Source organism: Homo sapiens, chromosome 11, assembly GCF_000001405.40.
Source record: "Homo sapiens chromosome 11, GRCh38.p14 Primary Assembly".
Taxonomy (NCBI): Eukaryota; Metazoa; Chordata; class Mammalia; order Primates; family Hominidae; genus Homo; species Homo sapiens.
Genome location: NC_000011.10, coordinates 69,036,468 through 69,054,023, shown reverse-complemented (window position 1 = coordinate 69,054,023; position 17,556 = coordinate 69,036,468). Strand labels below are relative to the sequence as shown.

General features: G+C 52.9%; 1 protein-coding gene and 2 long non-coding RNA genes across 3 annotated transcripts in view, besides 8 other annotated features; 1 reads left to right on the top strand and 2 right to left on the bottom strand.

Moving 5' to 3' along the window:
- Window positions 1-5,092, bottom strand: part of TPCN2 (two pore segment channel 2) — a 41,666-nt gene extending 36,574 nt beyond the window's left edge. Inside the window, exon 1 of the mRNA NM_139075.4 lies at window positions 4,918-5,092. Coding sequence (NP_620714.2) covers window positions 4,918-5,026 — 109 coding nt within the window. The 5' untranslated portion in view covers window positions 5,027-5,092. The remainder of the gene's footprint in view (window positions 1-4,917) is intronic.
- Window positions 390-963: an enhancer, noted in NCBI's record as "H3K27ac-H3K4me1 hESC enhancer chr11:68820529-68821102 (GRCh37/hg19 assembly coordinates)". NCBI's record gives its function as "activates a minimal SCP1, AML or CMV promoter by ChIP-STARR-seq in primed H9 embryonic stem cells {active_cell/tissue: H9 hESC(primed)}" and the evidence as "EXISTENCE:reporter gene assay evidence [ECO:0000049][PMID:30033119]".
- Window positions 2,114-2,688: an enhancer, noted in NCBI's record as "H3K4me1 hESC enhancer chr11:68818804-68819378 (GRCh37/hg19 assembly coordinates)". NCBI's record gives its function as "activates a minimal SCP1, AML or CMV promoter by ChIP-STARR-seq in naive and primed H9 embryonic stem cells {active_cell/tissue: H9 hESC(naive and primed)}" and the evidence as "EXISTENCE:reporter gene assay evidence [ECO:0000049][PMID:30033119]".
- Window positions 4,665-4,764: a silencer, noted in NCBI's record as "silent region_3689". NCBI's record gives its function as "represses an Ori minimal core promoter by ATAC-STARR-seq in GM12878 lymphoblastoid cells {active_cell/tissue: GM12878}" and the evidence as "EXISTENCE:reporter gene assay evidence [ECO:0000049][PMID:35858748]".
- Window positions 4,845-5,014: a silencer, noted in NCBI's record as "silent region_3688". NCBI's record gives its function as "represses an Ori minimal core promoter by ATAC-STARR-seq in GM12878 lymphoblastoid cells {active_cell/tissue: GM12878}" and the evidence as "EXISTENCE:reporter gene assay evidence [ECO:0000049][PMID:35858748]".
- Window positions 5,135-5,354: a silencer, noted in NCBI's record as "silent region_3687". NCBI's record gives its function as "represses an Ori minimal core promoter by ATAC-STARR-seq in GM12878 lymphoblastoid cells {active_cell/tissue: GM12878}" and the evidence as "EXISTENCE:reporter gene assay evidence [ECO:0000049][PMID:35858748]".
- Window positions 9,012-9,679: an enhancer, noted in NCBI's record as "NANOG-H3K27ac-H3K4me1 hESC enhancer chr11:68811813-68812480 (GRCh37/hg19 assembly coordinates)". NCBI's record gives its function as "activates a minimal SCP1, AML or CMV promoter by ChIP-STARR-seq in primed H9 embryonic stem cells {active_cell/tissue: H9 hESC(primed)}" and the evidence as "EXISTENCE:reporter gene assay evidence [ECO:0000049][PMID:30033119]".
- Window positions 11,602-16,088, bottom strand: LOC124902702 (uncharacterized). The gene is made up of 3 exons (XR_007062754.1): window positions 15,935-16,088; window positions 13,294-13,453; window positions 11,602-13,082 (listed from the first exon to the last, which is right to left on the bottom strand). It is a non-coding gene; the product is annotated as an uncharacterized LOC124902702 (long non-coding RNA).
- Window positions 12,968-13,467: an enhancer, noted in NCBI's record as "H3K27ac hESC enhancer chr11:68808025-68808524 (GRCh37/hg19 assembly coordinates)". NCBI's record gives its function as "activates a minimal SCP1, AML or CMV promoter by ChIP-STARR-seq in primed H9 embryonic stem cells {active_cell/tissue: H9 hESC(primed)}" and the evidence as "EXISTENCE:reporter gene assay evidence [ECO:0000049][PMID:30033119]".
- LOC124902701 (uncharacterized) lies at window positions 13,119-17,008 on the top strand. Its single transcript, XR_007062753.1, has 2 exons — window positions 13,119-13,493; window positions 16,539-17,008. It is a non-coding gene; the product is annotated as an uncharacterized LOC124902701 (long non-coding RNA).
- Window positions 13,468-13,969: an enhancer, noted in NCBI's record as "H3K27ac hESC enhancer chr11:68807523-68808024 (GRCh37/hg19 assembly coordinates)". NCBI's record gives its function as "activates a minimal SCP1, AML or CMV promoter by ChIP-STARR-seq in primed H9 embryonic stem cells {active_cell/tissue: H9 hESC(primed)}" and the evidence as "EXISTENCE:reporter gene assay evidence [ECO:0000049][PMID:30033119]".
- Window positions 17,009-17,556: the final 548 nt, after the last annotated feature.

Below are 17,556 nucleotides of genomic sequence, written 5' to 3'. Positions count from 1 at the left end.
GAGGGGACACATCAGGTGACCGAGCAGGATGACATGGCCTCACCCTCCAGGATACCCGTGATCAAGGAAAGATGCCGGCTGTGGTTCTTCCCAAGGCCGTTTGTAAAGAGATGACTCCACCCGGCAGTGGGGCTGCATGTACCTGCCCAGGGCAGGGACCAAACCAGGTAAGTGCCTCGGCATCAAATGCACAGGCCAGGCCCAGGGCACGGCACCTCCGCATGCAGCGCACACAACTAGCAAGCCTGTGGGAAGCGGCACATCCTGCAGGGCCCTGGCACCAGCGTCGGGGTTCAGAGCCCGGCTCCTCCACGTGCTGGCAGGAAGGCTGTGGCTGGCTCCTCCTCTGTCAAGTGGGGCTATTTACAGCCACCCAATCGGCTCCCCAGAGGGTACTGTGAGGTGCAACGCAGGAGCACAAGAGCCCCCTGCCACGCTCCCCAGGCATGCTCGGTACATGGGGCTGCTGTCACCCCTCTTCCGCTCGGCCCTACCTGGCTCCTGCACAGTCTTCATGAGCCAGGACACTGTACCCAGTGTCCCACCCACCCCCATCAAACCAGACCTCGGATTCAACAGTGACAGGGAGAACTGGCATCTAGAACCCAAAGGCACTGCCATGAGGCTTCATGAGTGCTACCAAGGTCCCATTCCCTCACTGTCCCGGTCCATGGGCCCAGGCAAGCCCACCCAAATCACTCCCAGGGTCAGAGCTGCAGGAACGCCCGAGTCCCCCAGCCTCTGCCGGTGCCTTCTGTGGTGAAGGGTGGCCGCCCGCCTTTACCAACAGCACAAGCAGGGTGGAGCCTCCCGGCAGGCCTGGGCAAAAGCGGCAGTGGCTCCTGACTAGGAGGGGCCTTCAGGAAAAGTCAGGCGGCACAGAAGCCAGGACCCAGCACCCTGGCCTGCTCACAAGCCCCTCACCTGCCACAGAGCAGCCAGCGGGCGCACCTGGTCAGCCACTGAGCCACTGCAGGGAGCCTGGGCCACCCACCCGCATCGTAGGCACGGGCCACCTCTGGCCTCGCTGCAGAGCTGCTCCCCAGCAGGCCAACAGGGAAGGAAAACTCAACCCGAAGCAACTGAGGAGCCCGGAGAGGCTGACACTTCCCAGCACGGGGAGAGGGTGAAGCAGCTGCTTTTTCAGTTGAGACTCGGCTTTCACACCTGGCCCCTTGGGGCCCACAGCTGCACCAAGACAATGTGGTGACATGGGAGGCAGCAGCAGAGGCCTCAGGAGGTGCTGGTCCCCAGGCAGAGCTCCAGGCCATGACCCGCCCACGCCACTGGCCATCCTTAGGGAGGCAGCTGCCCCTGTCCTCGGGGCTCCTGCTTGGGGGCATGAGGTATAGGCAGCTGGGCCCTGGACGGATTAGAGGTGTGAGGGGCCCCAGACAGAGGCAGGAGACCGGACCCCACCCTCACTCTGCCCGGCCCTGCTGCACTGCCGGGAGCAAGAGCCTTCCCTCCCTGTGGCTTTGGTGCCCACATGCACAGCCACGAGACCCACCCTGAGGACACCCGAATGTCTCCCCAGGGAAGCTCTGAAAGTGGCTACTGTTTATGTCCCCTGAGCACATCCTGGGATCGCTATGAACAGAAGCCACACTGTTTTGTTCCCTGCTGTATCTGCAGAGCCCAGAAGTCAAGCACACAGGACTCAAAGCTGATATATCCCATGAATAAATGAACAGCCCTGAGGGGAGCCTGGGGGGCCGGTGATCTGAGAGGCCCCACCTTACCAGATTCCCTGGGAGAAGACAAAATCTCTACCAGGAGAGATCTAGTGATACAAGCTTCTTAGACAAGAGACAAGCGGCCGAGTTCCGGGCCTCACTCCAGCCCCAGGACCACGGAAAGTACTCACATCCACCCAGGCCAGCCATCCCAGGCCAACAGTGGTGGGCACCCCTGGAACCATCCAGCACTCGTGGTTCCCTTTCGCCTGGCTTTTTGGTTGCTGGTTTGTAAAATTCTGGGTCTGGCCATCCTCCGTTTCACCCTGCAACAGCCCAAGGATCTCGTTCCAAACACTCAGAAGCACATCGCAGCTTCCCCTGGGCCCCCACTATTCCAGGCCCACACTCCACCCTGGTCTGGCACTGCAGGTTCCCACATTTGCCGGCCCGCCTCTCTCCTGCCTTTCAACCCTCAGTGCCACTCATTCCGAACTGGGCTCTGCCAAGGCCATGCTCTCCAAAGCCTCCAACCCTTTACTCAGGCTGCTGCTTCTGCCAGGAGCACCATCCCCCAATTTGTGAGTCCAGGGACTCCCTTGGGACAGCTCGCCCCGCCCTGAGCTCATCACCCTGGGGGACAATCACCTTTCCACACACCATCACCCACTGGGGCTGAAGGGTTCTGCAAGGCACAGAGGACAGCAGGGGCTGAGATGCTGCATCCGGCACACCAGGCCTCGACACGGCTTCCTAATCCAAGCCTCTGCCCCGCAACATCCAGGTCTGAGCTCCCGCTCCCCTGTTGCTCCAGGCTCCAGGCTGCACAACCTGTGTAGGGTCCTGACCATCATCCTCTGTGACCCTGGGCAAGTCCCTTAACCTCTAGGTGCTCCAGGTCCTCATGGACCCCCACCCAATAGGAGCTAAGTACAGACTGAATGACTTACTATAGCCAGAGTACTTTGCTAAGTGAGCCCTTCATAAGCATTCAGTTACTCTGAAAGCCTCTACAGCATCGCAATCCCTTGTCCTCTGACTTGTTTGATAACCAGTAAAAGTGTGATTTTTCTGACCCAGCAACAAGAGAAAACAACTGTTCTCAACCTTTGACCCCGGCCCCATCAGGTGGGGCCAAGTCAAAACGACCCAACAGCAGGGTCCACTGGGGTCCTTGGGGCACCCACAGCAGCAGCCCTCACCACAACCCGTTGGCAAGAGACCAACCACAGGACTTGCAAACCAGAGCACAGGGCCTTCATTTCAAAGCCTGGCACAGGCCTCAGCACAGAGACTGAATGAGCCTTTCGGAGTCTCCATGGCTCCATAGTCTGCCAGTCCTTGCTGGGGACCCTGGCCAAGGGGATTCAGAACACAGAGCGTCCTGTCCACGTTCTCAGAAGCCCTGGCTGAGGCCACAGCATAGGGACAAAGAGCGCTCCCCGAGAGCCTCCTCTTGTCAGCCACACTGCCCAGCAGAGCGGGTCTCACCTGCCAGGGAGGACCTGCAATGATCACAGAGCTTACCCAGGACGGCCACTGGCCCCCACACCAGCCCGCCGGGCCCTGTGCTGAGGACAAACTCTGGATTCTCTCTGAATCCTCACAATGCCCGCCAGGCAGTCCTTAGTATTATCTCCCTTTTACTGAGATTCGGAAAGGTGAAGCATGGCCAGGCACAGTGGCTCACGCCTGTAATCCCACCACTTTGGGAGGCCGAGGCAGGCAGATCACCCGAGGTCAGGAGTTTGAGACCACCCTGGCCAACACAGTGAAACCCCATCTCTACTAAAAATACAAAAATTAGCCAAGTGTGGTGGCGGGCGCCTGCAGTCCCAGCTACTTGGGAGGCTGAGGCGGGAGAATCGCTTCAACCCAGCAGAGGTAGAGGCTGCAGTGAGCCGAGATCACGCCACTGCACTCCAGCCTGGGTGACAGAGTGATACTCCATCTCAAAAAAGAAACAGAAAGGTTAAGCAACCTGCCAAGGTCACACAGCCAGTGCAGCCCCAGAAAGGCGCCCAGACCCCTAGACACAAAGTCTGTGTTCCCTGAACGGTGCCATATGCTGGGCGTCTCATCAAGGGGCCTGCCAGAGCTGCTCCCTGCAGATCTCCTTCCTGACTGGTCCCAGGAAGCACCTGAAGAACTTCCTGGAGGCAGCTTCTGAGGTGAGCAGACAGGGTGGCCACCTTGGCCTCTGGTTTTTCATCTCTCGTCAGGGTCCCCTCCTTGGCCCCTCATTACTCCATGGATGGGCACATGCCACAGACCAGTGGGTGGGCACCAGGATTCCAACCCAGTTCCTTCCAGACAGAGGAGGAAAGAAGGAAAGAGAGGCCAGAGAGGGAAGGAGCCAGGTGTGAATTCTCAGAGTGGTTCGAGCAGCAGCCGCACCAGAACAGAGGGCTGTGACCTTGGGCAGGTCTCAGGGCCTCTCTGGGCCTCAGTTTCCTCATCTGTGAAGTGAAGCTAAGGTCCTTCCACCTCTTAATCCAGAATCTCATTCCCCTGGTGTCAGCGAGGGGCGGACGCACCCCACCCTCGGGGGGCGGATTCAGCAATCTTCAGACCAGGACAAAAAACGGGAAGGGCAGGAGGGAGTGCAGAGGGGACTCTGGGGTGGCAGAGGGCAAGGAGAGGAAGCCGCCCCCGTCTAGGGGGCCCGCCCCAGCCCCACGGGAAGTGGGACGGGGAAAGGCACCCTACAAAGAAAGGACTCCTAGCTCCCAACTGGTTCGAATCCCACCTCGGCCACTTACTGGGTGTGTGACCTTGGGTAGGGTAACGCCTCTCTGTGAGCCTCTGCTTTTTCCAGAAGAAACGGGAAAAATCAAAGTGCTGCCTTCTCTGAGTCAATTAGGCGACCCTCATTACGGCGACAGTCGGGAAGTATGGGGTCTGGGCCCGCCCGGGCACACGGAGGGTGCCTGCCGCAGGTGGCCGGTTCCCTCGGGGCTGCCCAAGGCTGGGCGAGGGCCTCTTCGCCCAGCTGGTCGGGATCAGGACGCGACACGGAAGAGACCCCAGCTCTGCCCTGACCCCGGTCCGGGTCCGCAGGACGCAGCCCACTCGCCCTCAGAACACCGGCTCGCCTGGCACCCGGCGCGGCCCGGGCCCCGCTCGGACTCGAACCTGGTGGGGGCGCGCCCGGCAGAAAGCGGGGTGCTGGGACAGCGGGACCCCCACGCGCGACCCTGGTCTCCCGGGCCAGTCCCCTCCCCAGGTCCGGGCGGCTCACCAGGGCCGACTTGGATGCTGCGGTAAGTGGTCAGCCCCGCCGGCCAGTCGCCGCCACCGCCGCGGGCCCCGCCCAGCAGGGGCTCCGACTCCGCCTGGGGTTCCGCCATCCAGCAGCCCACGCGCTGGACCCGACCCTCAGAAGCTCAAGCCCCGAAGGCGCCCAGCTTCACTGCGCAGGCGCGGAGACCCCGTCCCTGGCGTTTTTGCTGACGCGCGCACGGCACTGTGGCGCAGGGGATCCCTGCAGTCCCAGCCAATGAGAACGGGGAGGGAGGGGTGGGGTTCTCCTGAGTGGGGCGGAGCTAAAGGGCCCCGCCCCTCTAGGGTGGAGCTCAGCTTCGTTCCACCCAGGGCGGGGCAGCGTTCTGGGGCTTAAGGGCCGAGGGCTGGGGAGGAAATATGTTCTCAAAGGATGTCTTTCCGGCCAGAAGCTTCAGCATCACCTGGAAACATTTTAGAAATGCAAATTCTTGGGCCCTTAAACCTACTAAATCAGCAACTCTGCGGGGAGGACCCAGGAATCTGTGTTTTAACAAGCATTCGGGGTGATTCTGATGCATGTGAGTATTGAGTACACGGGGTGACTGCAAAGGACTCCCCCCAGAATGGAACTGGAGTTTACCCTCTGATGGTGAAATTAGGAGGATTCAATATCATTAAGGGAAAAGTTTAAAAACATATGACACACTTAAAAAATATTTACAACGTATATAAAAAGTGTTTTCAACATTAATGCATAAAGACCTTGTATTCGTTTTCTATTGCTACAGTGACTAATTACCACAATCTGAAAATATAAAATAACTCCCATTCATCATCTTTCAGTCCTGCGGGGCAGGAAACCTCCTGTCTCAGGGCCTCACGAGGCTAGAGTCAAAATGTCAGCTGCCGTGGGCTCTTATCTGCAGACTCTGGGGAAAGCCCACTTCCAGGCTCATCCAGGATGTTAACAGAATTGTCTCCATGGGCCTAGGACTGAAGTCCACGTCTTCTTGCTGGATGTTGGCTGGTGTCATTCTCACTCCTAGAGGCCACTGCATTCCTTCCACGATGGCTTGAACACCTCCATCATCAGAGCCAGCAAGCAAGAGCACGCTGAAGACGCTTCGAGATGCAGCAAGACGCCTGTAATCCCAGCCCTTTGGGAGACCGAGGCAGGTGGATCACGAGGTCAGGAGATCGAGACCATCCTGGCCAACATGGTGAAGCCCCGTCTCTACTGAAATACAAAAAGTTAGCCAGACGTGGTGGCACGTGTCTATAGTCCCAGCTACTCGGAGGCTGAGGCAGGGGAATCGCTTGAACCCGGGAGGCGGAAATTGCAGTGAGCTGAGATTGCGCCACTGCACTCCAGCCTGGCAACAGAGCGAGACTCCATCTCAAAAAAAAAGGTGCTGCAAGACGCTTCCAATCTCTGTGACTTCCCCTTCTGCCATACCTCTTTACTTTTTCCCCCTCTTTTGGGGAGGGGGGAGGGTTTAAAATAAATATAAAATTTACCATCATAACTGTGAAAGGAAAATAAATCTCAGGACTCCAAAATCACTAAGCCAAAGGGAAAAGTCAAGCTGGGAACTGCGTTGGGCAAACTGCCTCGCCTTTTCTTCTTTAATAAAATAGCTACGAAGATTTAAAAAGCTACATACCTCCCTCACAATTTGCCCGCTAGGAAATTTTTCGTGGGCACCCAAGATCTTTACCCTAAAACAGTTTTGTTGAATTTTACCCTAACAATGTACATTGACAACTGATCTTCACAGGTTCCAAACAAAGGATGGAACTCTAAGTCATCCCTCTGCTCACCTGATTGCTTCCTCTGGTATAAAAGTGCAGATTCACCGAGCCAGACTAAGGCATAAGTGACTATTCCTCTACCCCCGCAACCTGTAAATTGTGTATTTCAGTGAAAGTCTGATCAAAGACTCACAAGAATGCAACCTTTGTCTCTTATCTCTCCACATATTTTTAAAATTTCTCCCTCTTTCCCAATATCCACCCTTTCCCTTTTTTTTTTTTTTTTTTTTTTTTGAGACAGAGTCTTGCTTCGTTGCCCAGGCTAGAGTGCAGTGGTGCGATCTCAGGTCACTCAGCAACCTCCGCCACAGCACCTGGCCAGTTTCCCCTTTAAATATTGAAGTCCTACAAATCATCCTTGAAGGAAGGCATAGACCTGCCTCCCAGGCACTCCTTAACCTTGGCAAAATAAACTTACTAAATAGATCGAGACCTGTCTCAGATATTTTTAGTTCACATAACTATATTGAAGTGTACAGCTCATTGATATTAAATATATTAATGATGCTATACAACTATCACCTCCAACTCCAGAACTCTTTTTATCTTGCAAAACTGAAATTCTGGACCCATTAAGCACTGACTCCTCATTCCCTCAGCCCCTGGAAACCACCATTCTCCTTTCTATCCCTAAGATTTTGGCGACTCTAGGTTCCTCATTTAAGTGGAATCCTGCAGTATTTGTTCTTTTGTGACTGGCTTATGTCATTTAGCCTAAAATCCTCAAGGTTCATCCATGTAGCATGTGTCCAAATTTCCTTCCTTTTTAAAGCTGAATAATACTCCACTGTATGTATCCATGACATTTTGCTTATCCAGTCATCCATGGATGGGCACTGGGTTGCTTCCACCTTTTGACTATTGTGAATAATGCTGCTGTGAACATGAGTGTACAAATAATTCGTCAAGACTCTGCTTTCAGGCCAGGTACAGTGGCTCATGCCTGTAATCCCAGCACTTTGGGAGACCAAGGCAGGCGGATCACCTGAGGTCAGGAGTTCGAGACCAGCTTGACCAACATGGTGAAACGCCGTCTCTACTAAAAATACAAAAATTAGCCAGGCATGGTGGCAGGCGCCTGTAATCCCAGCTACTCAGGAGGCTGAGACAGGAGAATCGCTTGAACCTGGGAGACAGAGGTTGCAGTGAGCCAAGGGCTCATATGATTATGTCTGAGGCATTCGAACCAGAGCGACTCCATCTTGAGTTAGGACTAGGAAAAATGAGGCTGGGACTTGCTGCGACTCCATCTTGAGTGAGGACTAGGAAAAATGAGGCTGGGACTTGCTGCGACTCCATCTTGAGTGAGGACTAGGGAAAATGAGGCTGGGACTTGCTGCGACTCCATCTTGAGTGAGGACTAGGAAAAATGAGGCTGGGGCTTTATCAGGCTGCATTCCCAGAAAGTGAGGCGTTCACAGTTAAGGGAACAGATTGATAATGTTTACTAAGCAGACCTAGACTTGGGAGTGTGCTGATATCCTGATATCTTCAGAACAGAAGCATCCCTAATTTTGCTTTAAAGGTAATAATATCAATTCTTGCAAAATACAGTAATTAGGAAAATTCTTTATCACAAACCCCAGTGGCAGAGCACGTGTCCTCATGATCTTTGATCTTTTTTCATCCTATATATAAACGAGTATTATACCTAGGGTGGACACGTTCCTCCTTACTTTCCGGAACGTCCTAACTCTGTCTATGGAGCAGCTGTTCTGTCACCACTTTACTTTCTTTTCTTTTTTTTTTCTTTTTTTTTTTTTTGAGACAGAGTCTCGCTCTGTCGCCAGGCTGGAGTGCAATGGCACGACCTCAGCTCACTGCAACCTCCGCCTCCCAGGTTCAAGGGATTCTCCTGCCTCAGCCTCCTGAGTAGCTGGAATTACATGCACACGCCACCACGCCCAGTTAATTTTTGTGTTTTTAGTAGAGACGGGGTTTGACCATGTTGGCCAGGCTGGTCTCGAACTCCTGACCTCAGGTGATCCACCCGCCTAGGCCTCCCAAAGTGCTGGGATTACAGGAACGAGCCACCGCACCCAGCCTACTTTACTTTCTTAATAAACTTGTTTTTGCATTGCACTGTGGACTTGCCCTGAGTTCTTTCTTGTGGGAGATCCAAGAACCCTCTCTTGGGATCTAGATCAGGACCTCTTTCTGGTAACAATTACACTGGGCTCATCAGATAATCTAGGATGATCTCCCTAATTTAAGATCAGCTCATTCGTGACTTCAATCGCATCTACAAAATCCTTTTTGCCATCTCATCTAGCACAACCACAGGCAGGACACCAGGAGTGAAGATCATGGGTGCCAAAATTCTGCTTCCTGCAGAGCCTTTAAAATCCCATACATTCAGCCTTAAATTCCACATATGGGAAAAGACTTGAACCAGAAGTTCCCAAGAAAGAGGAAATATCAGTGAGGAATGCCTAAAATAAAGCTCCACCTCATTAGGCTACAAAGGGATGCAAATTAAAGTAACAATGAAATCACTGAACTCCTAAGTCAGCAAATGTTTAAAAGATGACACAGCTCTGGGGAACAGAGTGGGGTCGAGAGAGATCTCAGGATGTGGCCACAGGTTTGAGTTTTGTTTTTGTTTTGTTTTTTGTTTTGTTTTGTTGTGACAAGGAGCATACATTTTAAAACATGAAAAAAAGTATAAGATATTTTTATTTCGAAGAAAGGAAATAATAGATGCACGCAGCTGTCTGCAAAAACGGCACATCCCAATAAATTGTCTTTATTGCCGCTAAAGAATTCCCTTGATGTTTGGGTACACAACCCCAGAGGCCCTAGTGGAATGTGGTTCCCAGTAAGCAGTTACACCATGTGGAGCGTGATGCAGGAGGGAGCTCAGAAGGAGCAGAAACAAACAATGTGGGCAGGGCCCAGTGAGGTCCCGCAAGAGGGCGCTGAGACTGGGATGGCAATGTCCTGTTCCTGGCACAGCCAGAATGGGGCACGGACAGATGGCATCTGGGCTGTGTCCCTCACCGGCATTCAGTGAGTCTGTCGCCACGTACTTACGGGTCTCGGGAGGGAGAGAAAGAGCTAGTGTAGGGGCCCCTCTGGGTAGCACCATCCTCACAGCAGCCTGGCAGTCACCGTTTGTGGGTGTTCTGGGCCCTGGCTTAGGGACCTGTCATCAAGGGAGCAGTGCTAGCCTGGGAGTAAAACTAGAGAGACACAGCCAGGCACGGTGGCTCACGCCTGTAATCCCTGCACTTTGGGAGACTGAGGAGGGCGGATCACTTGAGGTCAGGAGTTCAAGACCAGCCTGGCCAACATGGTGAAACCCCGTCTCTACTAAAAATACAAAAATTAGCCGGGCGTGGTGGCCCACGCGTATCATCCCGGCTACTCAGGAGGCTGAGTGAGGCAGGAGAATTGGTTCAACCAGGGAGCAGAGGTTGCAGTGAGCCGAGATCGTGCCACTGCACTCCAGCCTGGGCAACAGAGCGAGACTCCATCTCAAAAAAGAAAAAACTAGTGAGACACCAGCCCAGCCTCTGCAGGACCTCGGGCAAGTCACAGCACTTTTCGGCTGCTCAGTTGCCTCTTCCGTGAAGTGGGGGTGTAACAAGCCCAAGCCCCCTGTGCTGGGTGAAGGGGGTCTTCCCAGACACACGTGCCTCCAATAGCGGAGGTCCAGGCCCTGGCTCGAGCTGCTCCTTCGGGGCCAGTTGCTCTGCGAGGTTGACCAGGAACCACCCCCCAGCAAGCCCTGCCCAGCAAGCATTTACTGAGCGCCTCGTAGGTGCTGTGTGCTCTTCTAGGTGCTGTGGATACAATAGAGGAGAGGGCAAAATGGGGATCTACTGCTGGCTCTGCTGATTCCACACCTACACTGGCCCAGCTGTGAGATGCCGGGCGCATCACCCCCTCTCTGAGCCTCAGTTTCCCCATCTGTAAAGTGGGGAGAGAATTGCACCTCACATGGCTGTAGGGAGGATTCGAACAAGATGACATGTGTCAGAAGCGGGGCCAATGGGAAGCACTTGGTGAAGGGGGCACCCTTCCAGTAGGCACAGTCTGAGTGCCCGGCCCCATCCTCAGAGCTCCTTGTCTGTCTGGTCCAGTGGAGGAGACAGAACCCAGAAAGAGGAGGCTATGACAGCATTTCCCAGACCCAGAGAAGAAGGGGAGAGACTCAGTGGCTCTGGCCACCTCCCCTTCAAGGCTATACAGTCCAGAAAGGCCTCCGCAATCCTTTTAGAGAGGGAGAAACTGAGCCCAGAGGCAAGAAGGGCTTGGCCAAGATCTCCCCTTATCTGCAGCCGAGGTTGGGTGAAGCCACCAGTCCTCCTGCCTGCCCCATCCATGGGTCTTTCTGGTGCCACAGACTGGGAGGCAGTTCTGCAGTGGACTCGAGGCAGGGCAGTGATGTCCTTTGACCCTGTCCCACCTATCCCCTACCCTTATCTTTCTCTCTCCTTTCTCTTCCACCCTACCCACCACTGTTCCTCTTCCTCAGCCCAGCGAAGAGAAATAACCCTTCCACAATTCCTGTTCAGGTGATGGCAGAAGCCATCCTAGAACCAGGGATGCTGGCCAGGTGTGGTGGCTCACGCCTGTAATCCCAGCACTTTGGGATGCCAAGACAGGCGGATCACCTGAGGTCAAGAGTTCGAGACCAGCCTGGCCAACATAGCAAAACCCCATCTCTGCTAAAAATATAAAAAATTAGCCTGGTGTGGTTGCGTGCACCTGTAGTCCCAGCTACTGGGGAGGCTGAAACAGGAGAATCACTTGAACCTGGGAGGCGGAGGTTGCAGTGAGCCAAGATCGTGCCACTGCACTCCAGCCTGTGCGACGGAGCGAGACTCCATCCCAAAAAACAAAAAAAAAGAACCAGGGTTCCTGGATCTCCAGTCCCCTCAGGCCACTGGACACAGGGCTACAGCAAACAGGTCACAAAGTCATTCCTTCCCTGATGGGTGTGCTGCCTGCACTGAGGCTGGGGGTAAGGCAAGAAGCAGCTAGGGACGGGAGGGAGCTATGGGAGGCAGGCAGCGGGAACCCAGATGATTTTGATATGCAGCCCCCTCAGCAGGGCACAACTTACCATTGGGGGTGGAGGCACTTGCTGCACCCTGTAGACTCCTGCACCCAGACAGAGGTAACCCTTCATTATTCCTAACACTGAGCACGCATACTATGGCTTTGGAATCACGGTCAGCTCAATTAGCTCAGTGCTTACCAAACTTCAGTCATTGTCCTTCTACCCCTTGCTGTTTGCCATCCCACACCCATCTGTACCTCTGTTTATCTTACGGTTCTCTTCAAATTGATTTACATTGATTCATTTTCTCTACTTAGTTTCATTGCAAGTAATAAAACACTAAAACTCAATTTGATGTGTTAGTTCTATTTTTCTAAGAGATGTTAAAATAAATATGTGTATTAGTTATCTATGGCCATATAACAACCCCAAAACCTAGTGGTTTAAAACAATGCTGATTATCTCCTAGTTTTTCTTAGGCAGGAATCTGAATGCAGCTTGGCTGAGTGCCTCAGACTCTGGGTCTCCCAAGAGCTTGTAATCAAGGTGTCAGCCAGGGCTGCAATCATCGCAAGGTCTCTGACCTGTCTTTACTCACATCTCTGACACCAAGTGTGTGGGATATTTTTTCCCACACACCAACCAACTCTCTGGACGCCAAGTGAGTGTTCTACAATTCCATTTAATTCTGACACTATCTTCCTGGAGTTAATGCAGATCCCACATGTTAAGGGATCCCACAAGACTGCCTCCACTTCAGATGTCAGTTGAAAGTCCAGGGCCTCCTGCACTAATGACAGACCAGCTATACATTGAAGGTTCCCACAATCTCCTCCTCAAGTTAAATAATTTGCTAGAATGGCTCATAGAACTCAGGAAAACAATCTACATACCATTACCAGTTTATTATAATGGATACAACTCAGGAAAAGCCAAATCGAAGAGATGTATAATCGAGGTATGGGAGAGGGGCTCCATGCCCTCTCTGGGCCCACCACCCTCCCAGAGCCTCCATATGTCCACCAAACCAGCTCTCTGTATTCTGTTGTTCTCATGAGACCCAATGTTTTTATGGAGGTTCCATCACATAGTCATGCTTGGCTGAATCATTGGCCATGGGTGATTGAACTCAATCTCTGGCCCCTCTCTCCTCCCTGGAGGTTGGGGGTGAGGCTGAAAGTTGCAACCCTCAATCACGTGGTTGGTTCCTCTGGCTACCAGCCCCCAACCTCCATGAGTCACCTCATTAGAATAAACTCAAGTATGGTTGAAGGGGGCTTATTATGAGTAACAAAAGACACTTCTCTCACCCCTTTTACTTAGGAAATTCCAGTGGTTTTAGAAACTCTATGCCAGGAACCCTAGATGAAAACCAGATATACACTCTTTATTATATTACAATAGCACAAAGCTGCCCCAGGGAAGGGTCCTCTTCCAAGCTTGCTCAGTGGCTGTGGGCTGGATTGAGCTCTTCACTAGCTACTGAACTGAGGGCCTCAGTTTCTCAGAGGCTGTTACCCAAAGGCCTCCCTCAGCTCCCTGCCATATGGGCCTCTCCACAGGGCAACTCACCATATGGTGGCTGGCTTCACCAGAGCAAGCAAACAAGAAGAGCCCGAGAGAAGACTAACAAGCTGGAAGTCACCATCCGTCCAACCTAATCTCGGAAGTGACATCTCATCACTCTTGCTGTATTCTATCAGGTAGAAGCAAGTCACCAGGTCCAGCCCACCTGCAAGGGGAGGGAAGAGCAAAGCTGTGACCACCAAGAGGTAGGAGTCCTTGGGGGTCATCTTAGAAGGTGGCCTACCACAATATGTAGTGTGGAAGTTTACAGTGGTGAGACTTTAGGCCTGCTCCTATGCCTCCTAAGATCCCACACCCCACTTCCCATCTGGTTCTCACAGCCAGCCTGTGAGCCAAGGACACTGTCACTCTTCTTAGTTGGCAGATGAGAAAGTCGAGGCTAGAGGGACTTTGTGACGTTGCATCGCCCAGAGGGCTGGTGGCACAGTGTCTGGAAGCAGCCCTGGTATGTCATCCACTGCTTCACACGAGGCCAGGGCCCACCCAGGGTAGGATGATGTCAGGAGGGTGAGGCTGACCCAGGCCGGTTGATGTAGTTTGGCTGTGTCGCCACCCAAATCTCACCTTGAATTATAGTTCCCATAATCCCTATGTTGTGGGAGGGACCCAGTGAAAGGTAATTGAATCATGGGGGCAGTTACCCCCATGCTGCTGTTCTTGTGGTAGTGAGTCCTCATGAGATCTGATGGTTTTATAAGTGGGGCTTTTCCCCCTTTTACTCGGCACTTCTCCTTGCTGCTGCCACGTGAAAAAGGACATATTTGCTTTCCCTTCCGCCATGATTGTAAGTTTCCTGAGGTCTCCCCAGCCATGCTGAACTGTGAGTCAATTAAACCTCTTTCCTTTAGAAATTACCCAGTCTCAGGTATGTCTTTATTAGCAATGTGAGCATGGACTAATACACTGGTCAACCCACAGCAGCTCGCTGGGATTGTCAGAGGCATCCTAATCAGAGTGACTCCATCTTGAATAAAGGCCAGATAAGGCCAAACCTACTGGGTTACATTCCAGGGGGTTGGGCTGTCTTGCCCACAAGATGTTTTTTATGGTTGAGAGAAAGAGTTGATGATGCTAACTAACTGAAGACCCAGAACTGATGGAAATGCCCCAATCTTTCAAGAACAAAAAGCATTCTTGGGTTAAGAATAAGTTTTTCTTGCCAGGCATGTGGCTTGCTCCTGTAATCCCAGCACTTTGGGAGGCCAAGACAGGTGGATTGCTTGAGCCCAGGAGTTCGAGCCCAGCCTGGGCAACATAGTGAAACCCTAACTCTGCAAAAACATTAAAAATTAGCCAGGCGTAGTGGTGCATGCCGGTAGTTCCAGTTACTCAGGATACTGAGCCGGGAGGACTGCTTGAGCCCAGGAGGCGGAGGTTGTAGTGAGCTGATATTGCACCACTGCACTCCAGCCTGGGCTACGAAAAAAAAAAGAAGAAGAAGAAGTGGTTTTTCTTTTCTTTTTTTTTGAGACGGAGTCTCACTCTACCACCCAGGCTGCAGCGCAGTGGCACAATCTTGGCTCACTGCAAGCTCCGCCTCCCAGGTTCAACTGATTCTCCTGCCTCAGCCTCCCAAGTAGCTGGGATAATAGGTGCCTGCCACTGTGCCTGGCTAATTTTTGTAGAGACGGGGTTTCACCATCTTAGCCAGACTGGTCTTAAACTCCTGACCTGGTGATCCACCTGCCTCAGCCTCCCAAAGTGCTGGGATTACAGGTGAGCCACTGGGCCCAGCCAGAAGAAGTTTTTCTTAAAGATAATAGTACACTGGTAAATTCTTATTAAAATCAGTAGTAACATAGGAAAATAATGCTAATAGTCTGTCACAAGCTGATCACAAGCCTTTGTAATAAAGCACACTGTTTTTAACAGCCTGTATAAGCAAGCACTATGTTTAAGATAGAAGCATTCCTCCTCTTGCTTCCTGAGGAGGCCCTACTCTGCAATGAGTGATTTCTTTTTTTTTTTTTTTTTTTTTTTTGAGACGGAGTCTTGCTCTGTCCCCCAGAGTGGAGTGCAGTGGCACAATCTCGGCTCACTGCAACTTCTGCCTCCCGGGTTCAAGCGATTCTCCTACCTCAGCCTCCCAAGTAGCTGGGATTACAAGCGCCCGCCACCACGCCCAGCTAATTTTTGTTTTTAGGAGAGATAGGGTTTCACCATGTTGGTCAGGTTGGTCTCAAACTCTTGACCTCAGGTGATCTGTCTGCCTCGGCCTCCCAAAATGCTGGGATTACAGGCACAAGCCACTGCTCCCGGCCTAGAGTGGTTTCTTTGGTTTCTTTTTTTGTTTTTTGAGATGGAGTCTCACTCTGTCGCCCAGGCTGGAGTGCAGTGGCGTGATCTTGGCTCACTGCAAGCTCTGCCTTCTGGGTTCACGCCATTCTCCTGCCTCATCCTCCCGAGTAGCTGGGACTACAGGCGCCCGCCACTGCGCCCGGCTAATTTTTTGTATTTTTAGTAAAGACGGGGTTTCACCATGTTAGCCAGGATGATCTCGATCTCCTGACCTCGTGATCCACCCCCCTTGGCCTCCCAAAGTGCTGGGATTACAGGCACGAACCACCGCGCCCGGCCGAGTGGTTTCTAATAAACTGTTTTAACTTTACTATACTCTGCGACTCACCCTGAATTCTTTCCCACGAGAGATCCAAGAACACACTCTTGGGGTCTAGGACAAGACCCCTCTTCTGGGAATAGGATTGCCGTCCAAGTCCCCAACACAGCGGCTTCCTCTTGCGAAGGAGACTGGCCCAGCTGTGTGAGCCAGTGTTGTGTGAGGTCGATGAGAAAGGGGGTCCCTGGCACAGAAACCCCATTCCCTACCCTCCCCCTAGGCTAGAAAACAACCCAGGAGAGTCATAAGAGTACTCTGTCCTCCTCTTCCCCCCGCCCCGCTACCCCATAAATGAACCAAGAACGACCCTCACAGCACAGCTGCACTCTCCAATGTGGCTTTTGTTGCCCGTCACGCATGTCTTTTGGAACCAGCAGTGGAGAAAGACTTATTCTTGGTGGGGACAGTGATGTTGGCTCAGCCTGAGGGTCCCTTATGTCCTGCCAAGGCCGAGGGCTGGTGCCATCGACTGGGAGCTTTTTCTCCCAAGGCACTCAGAGGTTGCACCTAACTTGGTTTGAATATCAGAAATACCTCCCTGGGTTTCCAAAAACTGCCCCAGTTGTGTTACTTTGGCCAAAGTGCCCATCATCTCTCCCCCTTTATTTTATAGGAGGAAGAAATGATGTCTTCCGGGGAGGCTGCCGGGGCTTCTGTGAGGTCCAGCAATGAGTTGGAGGCACCAGCACTGCACTGAAATCAATGTCTCCCAAGACGGAGAATGCCTGGGGAGGCAGGAGCTCCGCTCCCCTGCAGGAACCTCCCAAGAAGGACCCGAGCGTCCCCGCAGCCTGGAGACTGGCCGTCTGCGGTTGAGCACCCGGGACCTGCTCCAGGTGCTTCTTGGCCATATTTACTTCCCCGGCTCCGGGTGCGTCAGGCCGACTGCCCACGTGCAGCTGGGTTTCCTCTGTTTAGCTGCATCCACAGGGGTCATGTATCCGTATCGGTCTTTCTAAGGGGAGCTCTGTGGTTTTATTCATTCATTCATTCATTCATTCACCCACGCATCTACTGAGCACCTACTACATATCATGAACTGTCCTAGGCACTAATGAATAACACCAAACGTGCTCATTGTAACAGTCTCTGATGATTGCTAAGATCACGTGGAAGAAAGCAAAAACCGTCAGCCTCATGGTCATGTGAGCAAAGCCTGTGCCCTGACCCACCCACCGCCAGCCCCATGAGCTCTGGCAACCCCAGGATCTCACTGAGCCTCGGTTTCTGTATCTGTAGAATGGGGATAATGATGGTGAGGGCCCAGGTTTGCAGACAGAAGGGACATGCGGTAGGGCCCCAGGCCAGGTTTCTGCCCTCCCACCCCCTTCCCTTCATGCCCATTCTCTGGGAGAAAAAAAAAAATGCTGTTTTAAAATCACCAGGTATTCTCCAATCCCTTGGGAGGCCAAGGCAGGAGGAGCACTTGGGCCCAGGAGTTCAAACCCAGCCTGGGCAACATAGGGAGACCCCATCGCTATAAAAAATTTTAAAAATTAGCTGGGTGTGATGACACATGCCTGTAGTCCCAGCTACTCGGGAGGCTGAAGTGGGAGGATCGCTTTGGCCGGGGAGGTCGAGGCTGCAGCGAGCTATGATCCCATCACTGCACTCCAGCCTGGGTGACAGAG